We start from the raw sequence: 13,753 nt of genomic DNA on the forward strand, positions 1-13,753 counted from the left end.
GATTTCTCCTGTTGCAACATGCATGTCATTTAGCATGGCTATCCTGTATTGTTGCTTATTTTTTAAATGTATATTTTGTGTTTCAACTCAAGGTTTTGCAGGGCATAGACACTCAATTTCAAATTTGTGTATACTAACTACACTGTGCAAAACCTTGTTTATTTAAGACAATCAATAAATAGAATTCTAGAGGGTTATAAGTTACTTTAAAAGTCATAAGATTCCACTTCATGTGTGATGGTATGATTATTATAATTATGATAATAATTATGCAGAAAAGGCCAAATATATTTATATATTTTATATAAGTATATAATATGTAAATATACTTAAATATGCTAATTAACCCATCTTAAGGTGGTCCTTTTTAAATCTTTTACATTTTTCTATAAGTGTAGAATAGGAAAATGCATAATATAAAAGATTATATTCTTGTAGAGATTCATAGATAAATATTTAAAAATTTATATTCCTTTTATTTTGTATTTTTAATTCTATTTTTAAAAGTATTACTGAGAAGTAAATTGTTTTATGCTATGTAATAAGACAGCTATCTACAGCTTTATCAATCTATAGCATTCAAATGCATAAAACAGGAGAACTTAATAACTGAATCTAGACCACGGTCAGGAATTATTTTCTGTGAGGGGCTGAGTAATAAATATCTTAGGCTTTTTGAGCTCTTGCAGCTACTCAGTCCTGCATCGTTGTGTAAAACTAACCACAATAGATTAATGAATAAGCATGGATATGTTCCAGTAAAACTGAATTCAAAAAACAGGCATGATCTGTGATCCAGTTTGCTAAGTCTTGAGAGACAATTACATCATCTAAACCAGCATGTGAGTTTTCTAGTTGTAATGAGTAATGACTTTCCACTTTTTCCATGGATGAATTTCATTTTATAAACCAACTATCAAAATAAAATCCCTCGTGTTTATTTGAGAGATTTTTCCTAAATCCTTAATAATAGTTTTGGTCCATTTCTTTTCAAGATTGAAGTATTTTACAAAGAGAATCCTGAGATACATTGCCAGATTTTTACATGTGTTTTGCTTAAGCTTAATTAGTATTTTTCCTTTAATTTGTTGACTTTATACATTTATTTTATGTATATAAAATAGTGAATTTTCAGTTCAATTTACAAGCATCTCTTTGAACCTCTGTATGACTAATGCTGTGTCAATGCCTCAATAAAGTATTTATCTATATCTTTCCTATTTCTTCACACTAGATTTCTTTAGAAATATTGACATAATATAGTCAAATACTGGGGTTCAAATTGTCTGTTTGGTTATATAATGTCACTTGTGGTAGTTTCCTAGGAGAGTGGAATCTTTTCCAAAGTTATCTTTATTCTAGTGCTTTCATCACATTGTATTTCATCTCTGAAATAGGGATGTATCTTATCATCAATGTGATAAAAATATCCACTGTCATATTTACATATATAACTTAATATTTTAATAATACATAAAGTAATGAAATGACTTATCAAAAAAACAGTGGTGTTTAACTTGATCACAGAATCCTGGAGTGGAGAACACACATTCAAGTGAGTCAGTGGGAGCAACGTGTTGAATAATTTTAGGTTTTTAATTGTCCTTTAAACAATGTTTGGGAGCAAATTCTTGGGAGTAATGTCTAATCTTTCTGGTAGGATCTGCAGCTGGGGTTTATTGTCTAATTAGGATTATCTTCCAAGGCAAGACTTTAAGCCCCACAGAAGCAGCAGGAAAAAAATATGCATAAATATATTTATCATCTTATTTTATATTACATACATAAAACTAGATACTAAATATTCTATACATGTCTGCTATTCCATAGTATATATCTATACTATAACAGATTTATAGTTATAAAAAATTGTTTGGCTAAGGGTATAGGCTAGTGTATGATATGTGTAGACACATGGATTGGACCTAGACTGAGTGGATACTGAAGTTTGGGAGAGCAATGCGTTTCAGAACCTTCCCACTGATCAAAATTGGGCTCCTGATATACTCCTAGGCACTGCTAAGAATTTGTATCATCCCATTGGAATGGAATGAGCCTGAAGTTTGAAAAAGTTAAAAATTACAGGTGGATGGATTTGGCAGAAGGCAACAAATAATATGTCCCATAAAAATTAGTTGATGTGTTTGTATTAAAGTGATTACCAGAATGAGCAAATGTAATCCTTATTTCCACACCCATTTAAGTCACAGAATCTTTTTTTTTTTAGACGGAGTTTCACTCTTGTTGCCCAGGCTGGAGTGGTGCAATGGTACGATCTTGGCTCACCGCAACCTCCGCCTCCCAGGTTCAAGCGATTCTCCTGCCTCAGCCTACCTAGTAGCTGGGATTACAGGCATGTGCCACCACGCCCGGCTAGTTTTGTAGTTTTAGTAGAGACGAGGTTTCTCCGTGTTTGTCAGGCTGGTCTCGAACGCCTGACCTCAGGTGATCTGCCCACCTCGGCCTCCCAAAGTGCTGGGATTATAGGCGTGAGCCACCGTGTCTGGTCTAAGTCACAGAATCTTAAAAATCACTTAACAAGTATGTTTCATTGCTTACATTTATTTTTATTATTTTTGAATAGCTTATCCATAAAGATGACTCAAAATTTTAAACATACCAGGAGACAATCTAATGAGAAATAAATGCCACTCTCACTTCAATCCCATTCTTTTTTTAAAAAATGGAAATTGCTGTTTTTATGTATCATCCCAGAAGTATTCTACCAATATATAAGCATACACTTACAGCATTTATGTATTGTTAAGCGTCTACACCCCAATGGTGTGATGCATGCTATTCACATTGTGCTTTTTAAACTTACTATCAAACTCAGGGATGAATCTATGTCAATGAACATTTTAAAAATGGCTACAAATGTATGAATTTACAATAATTTATTTAATCAGTCTCCTTTTGATGGACAATGCAATTGTTTTTAATCTTTTTGCCAGTATAAGGAATGCTGAAATAAATATTATTCCACACACTTTAATACACATGCAGCTCTGTCTGCAAGACACATTTTCTTAGAAGTGAGTGGCATTTTACATTTTGATAGATATTGTCAAACATTTCTACTACGTGATAGATATTGTCAAACATTTCTACTACTTGATCTGGCTAGTTTATAGTCATATCATTAGTGTATGAGGTTGCCTGTTCTCTACTTTCTCCCTGACATAGCATTTTATTAAACTTTTGGATTTTTTCTAATCTCGTAAGTGAAAACAGCACCTTGTTTTAATTTCTATTTCTTCTATTAGGAATAATATTTTACATTTGTTTAAATTCTGCTTTTTATTTCCTTTCCTGGAACAATCTCTTCAAACCCTTTCATCATTAGGTTGTTTTTTGTGTGTGGGACATAGTGTTGCTGATTTTTAAGAACTCTTTGTATATTTAAGAAATTTTATCCTTTTATGTAATGTAAGTATTCTCATCTGTTTGTAGTTCATCCTTTGCCTCTGTTTATATTTTTTAAGAAAATGTCTTTAGTTTTATATATTTAAATTTATTGATCTTATCTTGTATGGTTTCTTTGAATATATGCCATATATACAGACTCTTCCCATATTCATGCTATGAAGTGATCTTTTACTTTTTATTAAAGGAATTTGATATTTTTATTTTTACTTTATATATTTAATCCATCTGGAATTTATTTTAATATAAAGAGAGAACTAGATATTCAACTTAGCTATTTTCCAGGAAAAATCAGTTCATCTCAAATATTTTATTGACCAATCTATTTTTCCCTCAGTAACATATTGTATTTATTACCTGCTAAATTTCTGATACATTTAAATTTGTTCTGAACTATTTTTATCACAGAGTTTTTGCTTATTTTTATACTATTATAAATTTTATTTTGGTAACTTTATACTATACGTAATACCTGGCATGGCTACTTCTTATCATTCTCAAAATATTTCTAAACATTCCTGTGTGTTTATTTTAACATATACATTTTGTTTTTATTTTTCCCATTGTTATTATTATGGGTTTTGATTAGGTGCCTATTTTGTGCTAGAAACTGAAAGAATACCCTGACATAAATTTTAAAAATAGTTGTATTCTAAAAACGTATTTTATTGTATAATAATTTTAAACATATTTTATTAAAATATATTAAAGAATAAACAAATGGAAAGATAGGTTATGTTCATGGATTGAAACATTTAATATTTTTAAAATGTCCATACAACCTGAAGCAATTTGTAGATTCAATGCAATTCTTACCAAAATTCCAATGTCATTTTTTACAGGAATAGAAAACAAATTATTAAATTTATATGGAGCCATAAAAGACCTCAAATAACTGAAACAATCTTGAACAAAAAGAACAAAGCCAGAGGCATCACACTTACTGATTTCAAAATATATTAAAAAGCTATTGTAATAAAAAATCATGGTCCTGGCATAAAAACAAACACGTTGACCAAGGGAATAGCATTAGAAATCCAGAAATAAACCCACACATTTATATTATAGTCAAATAATATTTGATAAAGGTGCCAAGAACACACAATGGGGAAAGGACAGCTTCTTCAATAAGCGGTGTTGAGAAAAGGATATCTATACGCAGCAGAATGAAATTGGATCCTTTCTCACACCATACATAAAAATCAATTCAAGATGCATCAAAGATTTAAATATAAGACCCGAAGCTGCAAAACTACTAGCAGAAAACATAGGAGAAAAGCTATACAATATTGGTATAGGTAATCGTTTTTCAGCTATGACTCCAAAAGTACAGGCAACAAAAGCAAAAACAAATGGGATTGCATCGAATTAAAACATTTCTGCACAGCAAATAAAATAGTTAACAAAGTGAAGACACAACTCATAGAAATAAAAAAAAACTTTTGCAAATCACACGTCTGAATTTGCCTTCTTTTATGTGGTCAGGAATACACTTAACCTCTCTGAAGCTTTGTTTCTTTATCTGTAAAATCAGAGAACTTGGTTACTGGAGTTCTAATGCTCTGTCAAATAGTAATTTGTTATAATCTATGAAAGTTAAATTGGTCAAAAATCAAATGAATTTTGTTAGGTAAAAGAATAACTTTCTGACATTAAGGATTAAAGGCTAGAACAGGTTACTTGAGGAAGCTAAAATGACCCATATTCAAAGTCCATGAAAAGCCTATCATTTCATGTACTAGTATTGTGTCCGGAATTGGTGGGTTCTTGGTCTCACTGACTTCAAGAATGAAGCCACGGACCCTCGCGGTGAGTGTTACAGTTCTTAAAGGCAGCGTGTCCGGAGTTTGTTCCTTCTGATGTTCAGATGTATTCGGAGTTTCTTCCTTCTGGTTGGTTCGTGGTCTCGCTGGCTCAGGAGTGAAGCTGCAGACCTTCCCGGTGAGTGTTACAGCTCTTAAAGCGGTGTGTCTGGAGTTGTTCGTTCTTCTGGGGCTCGTGGTCTCACTGGCTTCCTGAGTGAAGCTGCAGACCTTCGCGGTAAGTGTTACAGCTCATAAAGGCAGTGTGGACCCAGAGTGAACACTAGCAAGATTTATTGCAAAGAGCGAAAGAACAAAGCTTCCATGGTGTGGAAGGGGACCCGAGCCGGCTGCCACTGCTGGCTCCAGCAGCCTGCTTTTATTCTCTTATCTGGCCCCATCCACAACCTGCTGATTGGTAGAGCCGAGTGGTGTGTTTTGACAGGGCGCTGATCGGTGCCTTTACAACCCCTGAGCTAGACACAAAGGTTCTCCACGTCCCCACCGGATACAGAGTGTGGACACAAAGGTTTTCCACGTCCCCACTAGAGTAGCTAGATACAGAGTGTCAACTGGTGCATTCACAAACCCTGAGCTAGACACAGGGTGCTGATTGGTGTGTTTACAAACCTTGAGCTAGATACAGAGTGCCGATTGGTGTATTTACAATCCCTGAGCTAGACATAAAGGTTCTCCACGTCCCCACCAGACTCAGGAGCCCAGCTGGCTTCACCCAGTGGATCCCGCACCGGGGCTGCAAGTGGAGCTGCCTGCCAATCCCGCACCATGTGCCCGCAGTCCTCAGCCCTTGGGTGGTCCATGGGACTGGGCGCCATGGAGCAGGGGGCAGCGCTCGTCCGGGAGGCTCGGGCCGCACAGGAGCCCACGGAGCGCGGGGAGGCTCAGGCATGGCGGGCTGCAGGTCCCGAGCCCTGCCCCGCGGGAAGGCAGCTAAGGCCCCGCGAGAAATTGAGCACAGCAGCTGCTGGCCCAGGTGCTACGCCCCTCACTGCCCGGGGCGGTGGGGCCCCGCCGGCCGCTCCTAGTGCGGGGTCCGCCCAGCCCACGCGCACCCGGAACTCGCGCTGGCCCGGAACTCGCGCTGGCCCGGAACTCGCGCTGGCCCGGAACTCGCGCTGGCCCAGAACTCGCGCTGGCAGGGAAGCACCGCGCGCAGCCCCGCTTCCCGCCCGCGCCTCTCCCTCCACACCTCCTCACAAGCTGAGGGAGCCGGCTCCGGCCTTAGCCAGCCCAGAAAGGGGCTCCCACAGTGCAGCGGCGGGCTGAAGGGCTCCTCAAGTGCCGCCAAAGTGGGAGCCCAGGCAGAGGAGGCGCCGAGAGCGAGCGAGGGCTGTGAGGACTGCCAGCATGCTGTCACCTCTCAGTATAATTTAAGATCAACCCTAATTGAAAATACTATATTTTGAAGGTAAAATCTCAGGTTTTTTGCTATTTTGCTCATTGTTTTAACTTCATGTCTACTTTGAATGTAATTATAGGTGGTGGAATCTACACAAATATATCATTATTATTATTAATAGAATGACAAAACTTTTTAATTACAAAAAAGCATCCACATTTGTTATTGACCTGTTCCAATCAAACTAGTAAGAAAATACCTCTTTCAATAACTTCAAAGATTTCATTTAAACATGTGTCAATTTCTTAAGAAGCAAATATAACAGAATGCCAGTTCTCTTGAGATTAATGGGCTTGCTCGAAGGAAAATAGCACCAGAAGTATGATTATTTCAAATAATTCAAAAGACAATAGTTTCTTTCCCCCTTGTTCCCACTTATATTCTGTTCTATGACAACTGACTCTTCACTCACTTGTAAGCACAGCAGTTCTCATAAAAATATAAATCCTTAATTTCTCCCAGTTTTCTTGTTATTCTCTAGAGGTAAAACCAAACAAATTTCAATAAGCTAAAAAAAAAAGAAAGTGAACTTGCCAAATTAAGAGCTGGTTCATGAGACTGGGTTTGCTATGTGTTTAAACAAAGTCATGATTCATTAACTATGCCTGTAACAATCAAATAAACAAAACCATGCTCTACAAGGCATCCATTAGCACGTTTAAGTGCATAAATCACTAACCATGTGACTTACGGCTTAACCGTTTGCCGAAAACAGCTGTTTTCTCAGTTCAGATAATGAAGAGAAAAAAACAGCTGAAGCCAATTAGTGGATAAGCATTCATTCCGAAATATCTGAGACAGTTGAGTGATTTGTTTTGCAGGCCAGATATGTTGTTATCCAGACCCAAGTAAGAAAGCTCCTTTTACAATAAATTGAAGGTTTTATATTAACCCTTGTTTGTATTCGGCTCTCCTCCAAACAGCAAGCAGAGCAACAAACAAACAAACAGCTGATTAAAATCCAGTGTCCTTGAAAGCATTGCAGTGCATTATTTATTTAGGATTGTTTGTTTTGTTGCTCATGGAATATTTTAAGCATTCATGAAGACTAGGGCAAAGCAAAATATCTAATTTCAAGCAGAAATTATGTTTACCAAAGAGAAGTTATCTATCAAACAGAAATAGACTCTAGAAAAGACTGAGTATATTTTATATACTCAGATGCTGAAAGGAGATCTATTTTCAACAATGGAAAAACTTTAAACATTGCATTTTAGGTTGGAATCAACACCATTGTCAGCAAAATTATTTATTGAGTTTTACGTGGGAATCCTCCAGTGAAAGATTTTATGCAGCTTCTCCTGCTACAGTAAGGGTATAATCTGGAACTTCCCTTGCTTTGACAGTCCTGATAATTGAATTAATATCATTCACTAATAAAAATTCCAGAAACATGACAGATTTCCCTCGAAGGAGTCATCACCAGGCAAGGTACCAAGACACAATCTTTCTTGCAAAGACTGCCTTGTCACAGACAGGAAGGAGAGCTGGCTTTGCAATCAGATCAGCTGAATTCTGACTGGGCCACTTACTAGTTGGGCAATGATTGTTAGCTTTTGGAATCCTTCTGAACCTCAGTTTCTTCATCTATATAACACAGATAATTACATATCTCAAAGCCTTACAAGTTTGTATTGTGAAATTTAAATGAGTCATTTACTTTTTGATGAAGTTGACATAGTATGAGTTTAATCCAAAGGTCAATTCTCCTAGTGAAATGTGAAAATATATTTTAAAAATGGCTAACATTCTGCCTGTTATAAAATGAGCATTCAAAATAAGTGGAAGTTATTTTCATTATTTCTCATGGAAGTCAAATGTCTTGGGTTGTCTGAGAGAGACTGAACTTTTATAATCGGAGAAGAATGGATTGATCATTAAAAGTTTGATTTTCTGGAATAAAGATATGATTTTGCCTTTTGGAGGGAAACTATCTCACTGGAGGGATCTCATTAGTTATACTGATAAAGACAGTACCTACCTACTGTCTTTGGGAGGACTTGAGAATGGTGAATTAACCAAAGTGTCATTGCTTTAAAGAAAATGTTAGGTATCATATTAGGGTAGCTCGTCCTGGTGAAAGCCTAGGAAAAGTCCACCTTCCGAATATAGGGATGTGGGGCTTCCATGAAGAGAATGGATGGTCTCACTGCCAATGATTTGAAGAGGGCAGAAAAATAAGGAAAGGACTTAGGGGTGAAACAGGAGCGTTCACTGTCTCGGGGGCTGAAGGGATTAGGGACTGAACTGCTGATAGGGGAGAGATGCTCACAGGCAATCCTATTGGGGGAAGATGAGTTGGCTATTGTGAGAAGGTGGCAAACTTGAAATAGGAAGTATTTTCGTAAGGAAGTCGAGGCCAAGGAACCCATTAGAGAACCTGGGGTACCTGTAGCATTGTGGTGACCATATTTCACTCTCCAGCAGTGTATGGGAGTTCCCATTTCATTACGCCTTGACTGTAGTGATTATGCAAAATAAAAAATAAAATCTTTGCAAACCTTATATATGTATTGACTGTAACCTGACAGTGCCACATAGATATGAGTGCTGTAACCCTGCTTTATACTTGTAACTGCTTGATTTTTTGACAGAAAAAAACCAAAACTTTTTTTTTCTGAGACCTAGGAAAGAAAACTAAACTTAATCTGGAGACTCAGAACAGTTAAGCTGTTGTTGATCTAGTTCAGTCACAAAACTTGCTGTCTATCCAATACAGACTCTCCATCTTGGAGCTTCCCTATTTTTCTGCCATATTTTTCTTTCCTCTTCCCCCGATTGCTATTTGCATTTCACAAGGTGTTATGTATGTTGGTTTTCACATGTCAGGAGTGGAGAGGCTACTATCTAGTCTGTTTGTCCTGCCTTCTGGTTCTGGCCACTGGTGTCATCTGGTCTCTGGCACAGTGAGGCTGAAGGCAAGGGGAGGAGGGAAGAGAAATGGAAAAAGGGAGGACTTACAACTATGTCACATCCAAGTTGTGGGTAGGCAACCGATGATATCTACCTGCCTAAAATTTGCATTTTGATTATTGATACAAATGAAGATAATTCCACTTGTTAGCTTGAGTTTATTTATCTTTTGAAGATTATTTTCCTTTGTTCTGCTATTTACTGTGGTTTTAAGGTTTTCAGTTTAAATTTGTGCCAGAATTTGATATAGAAAGGATATTAATGCTTTATCAAGCAATTTCATGTGAATATTCTACTTTTTTATTTGCCTTTCAATTTTATGTTTTGCAATGCAGAAGAATACAATCTTTTCTTTGTTATTACTTATAAATTTAAAGGCATTCTTTATATTAGCAGATTAGAATACATACATTTTACATTTTCCAAATAAAGACAAGTAACAATTCTTTTTCTAAATTTACAATGCAATGAAACCTTTCCTAAAGATAAGGAAAAAAATTCTCATTTAATATTACAGATGGTGGATAAACACCACAATATAATTAATTCAGATTAGAAGTAAAATCCAATATAATTGTACAAATGAACTGAGAATATGAACAAACAATTTAAAACAAAAATACATGGTTCTATGTATACAATAATCATAACTTCAATGATATTTTATTTACTGTTTATTTGTATAATTTCTAAAAATATATGAAAAAATTTAGTCTTTCTAGAAAATTAAAAACAAACTCAATCTAAGTTAAAGAAAATGATATAGTTTGTATATAAGAAAGTAGTCAAATTGTTTAGGGTGAATATAATCTTTGTTGAAAAGATTATTGCAGGACTCTGCCCTTATTAATTTTCAGTTGAAGTGTAATTACTAAACATTTTTAGAAAAGCAGTATGGACATTTGTAATAAGAATCATAAATAAATCCTTTGGTGCAGAAATTCAAGGTTGAGACATTCATACTAGGAAAATAATTCTGAAAAAGCAAAAAAGCTATAAGCTATAAATATGATTGTATTATTGATGGCATTAGCTATAATGGAAAGCAAATAGTACTCTTATAGGAAATTATTTAGCACATCGTTTTTTAACAACAAAATGGAATATTATATACCTATTAAAATAATAATTGTAAGAATTGACAGAAGTAGAAAATATACTGGCAATGTCAAGTGAAAATATCAAATACAATATAGCATGTACAGTCTGTGTCAAGCTATGTATCATATTTGCAATGTTGTGTAGTTGGATAGTTGAAAATTCACTTTATTACATTTACTTTAATTTTTATTTAGTTTCTTTTATTTTAATAATTTAATTTAATTTAATTTATATTTTCCAAGTAATTAGCAAAATATATAGTCATACTAATAAGATAAGTAATAATTGTAACGTGTATGTTTGTTTATGACCATGGCATTCCCTGACAAACTTGCCCTGGTATTTCTTTCAGTAATTAACTTCTCTCACCAATTTCTTTGTCTTCAGCAGAAAGTCCTCATAACCAAAATGCCAGGATTTAGAATTCACCAGGCCATTTAGCTTCCTTTTGTAAGAATTTTTCATTAGGGTAGACCCATTATGTGCATTTAAATGTGCATTTCAAGAATAGGGGAGTGTTGTCTGGGATTCTTGTTTTGGTTTTTGCATTAGAGAATAAAACCTTCAAAACAAGATTCTTTGTTTGAAAATCTTCTTTTGGATTCCACTTAAAAGGTGGAGAAATGATCAAAATAGCATCCCACAAGCATTCTTGGCAGGGCTGTGATACGTGTTGAAGTTTTCTTTATTCTCAGGATTGGCATTTGTTGAAGAGCTTTTCAAAGATGGTAGATACATTAAAGAAGAAAGCACTTTCAGCCTCAACTAGTATATGGTTAAATTAATGAGTGATTTTCTGACCTCTGGATTTGTGTTAGAGTAACATTAATTATCTATAAGACCTTTGAACATCCTCTACCACTGACTTCAGCCAAGGAAAAGACTTCCTTCTAATACAGCATCAGTGAATTTTTTGTGACTCTTTGCAGATTTATATCTGTAGCAAGGATAAAATTTCATAAGATACTTTAAATTAAAATAAATAAAATTACTGTTATTTTAAACAAAATTATATTAGTCATTATTTTTTCTTGAAAGGGAAGGATGAAAAATATACAAGAGCCTTTTTGGTAGATCTGTTATTGGCTTTCCTCACTGGCTTTAAAGTCATTTCTCCGGACGGAGCTGCTTTGATTTATGGTCACTTGAAGTGATCCCTAATGCCCCTCCTTTGTTCCTATTTCCTATTTGGTTGCCAACCCTCCCAACACAGTCTATTATTCTGGAATTGGTTTAGTTGTGCTTGAAAGGAAGTTTGGTTTATTTGGTTTGAGAGCTTCTCAGATCTGCTTTTTTGTGTGTAACACACATAGGAAGAGCTGGAGTTTGCCATTGCAATGTAGTATTTTTTACAATCCTCCAGACCCCATACTTTCCATGCAATATTATTTCTTTTCGTTAAACATACCAAAATAGCTACACCCTTAATGGAAACTTTATAAGCCCTACTAAATACATTTAGATTTTTGAACTAATAATTTTTAACTGAGTTTCAGAGCATTGCAATAGTTTTTCTCATGCAGAAAAAAGTTTTGTAGGAAATTAGTTCAAATTTAATTACTTTTCCACCAAAACCTATAGGTCCAGCTGCTTTATTTCTTTATATATCCTTTAATAGGTTGCAGTCTAAAAATGTTTCTAGAGAGGTAGTAGTTTCATAGAAGTAAAGTGGAAAAATGTCTCTTCCATTTCTTGTTAGAGGCACATGAGACAATTGCAGACTAAGCTTCAGGATTTTGTTCTTCAACTTCTAGAATACACAGGAGAAATCATTCACTAGGACTGTATTCTACTTTGGGAGCATGCTGACCTATGTATTTTCAAAAAAATATTTTTAAGAAGTATAAATATTTACACAATAAATTCAGAAATCAAAGTCCTACCATGTATTTTCATTGTTTAGGGCAGATTCACCAATCGCTCCTCAACACTACCTTTCCTAGTGGAGAGCTTGTATTTGACAGAGTTGCTCCTTTAATGTCACTGCTCTGCTGATTTAGTCTTGAGTTGGGGATCTTTTCGTGGGTGAATATTTTATCTCTCTCTTCTGACTACATGTCTGTTCTCATCCAGTCTGGTCTCTCAATCAGTGCTTTTCAAACCTCATTGTACATACAAATCACCAGTTAAAATACAAATCTCGTTAAAACACAGATTGTGTTAAAATGCAGATTCTGGTTCAGGAGTTCTCGGTGAGTCCTGAGATTCTACATTTCTGTTACCTTCCAGGTGATGACAATGCTCCCGGTCTGTATTTTGAATTAATAACAAATATCTGGATTATCAGAGACTGTTGACCACTCCTGCTAGATACTACACATTACTACAAGAGAATTTGAGAGCTATGAGACCATAAGAGCTTCCTGATGCAGTCTTCCATTCTTTCAGTCCAATTCTGTAGAGCATCTGCTCTGATATTCAGATCTCACAACTCCTCTAGCTGGCTAAAGCTTAACCATCTCTAAATGTGTTACATTGCCAAAGTGTAATTAGGAAAGCATCTTTTGATGGGGAAGGTAGCTGGGTAGCAAAATCAATCAGGAAGCAAAATTTAAAGCTACTTTGAGGTTACAGGCGTAGAGCTAAGGTAACAGGCAGGGGAGTGACAAGTGAGAATGTAGGCTAGAGAAGATACCAATTAAGGCTAGAAACTGCTAAACAAGAATAAATAAAACAAGTCACAGATCACATATGCTTGGCCAAGGAACAGGAAAAAAATACTCTAGGTCAAGCCCAACTTGGTATTCCCAAGAGACAAATTAGGGTAGACTACAGGGTTGCTGTTGAAGTTGTCATTTAAAATGCCCAACAGAGCTGGGCCTCTGTATGGATCCATAGAGGTAGCACAGTGAACAACTCCAAGGGACATCATTTACCTAGACTATGATGTGAGTGGTGCTTCCTGGAATTGTACAATGTCATCTTTGGTCTTACTCTTCTGACTCTCAAAGCAAAAGCTTGAGTATACAATTGGGTTATTATAGCTGCTAACATACTTTCTAAAAGAAATCCTCTTATATTCTATTCCTTTGGCCTTGAGATAGTTGTTTCTAACCAACGAGAAATAACCAATGTAATTTCTTGACCTGCA

General features: G+C 35.7%; 1 long non-coding RNA gene across 1 annotated transcript in view; it reads left to right on the top strand.

The window, feature by feature from the left end:
- The first annotated feature begins 6,557 nt into the window (after nucleotides 1-6,557).
- The window catches only part of LOC105377949 (uncharacterized), a 79,927-nt gene continuing 72,731 nt past the window's right edge, over nucleotides 6,558-13,753 (top strand). Inside the window, exon 1 of the long non-coding RNA XR_001744304.2 lies at nucleotides 6,558-6,657. This is a non-coding gene — a long non-coding RNA (uncharacterized LOC105377949). The remainder of the gene's footprint in view (nucleotides 6,658-13,753) is intronic.

Source organism: Homo sapiens, chromosome 6, assembly GCF_000001405.40.
Source record: "Homo sapiens chromosome 6, GRCh38.p14 Primary Assembly".
In the NCBI taxonomy this organism is placed as follows: domain Eukaryota; kingdom Metazoa; phylum Chordata; class Mammalia; order Primates; family Hominidae; genus Homo; species Homo sapiens.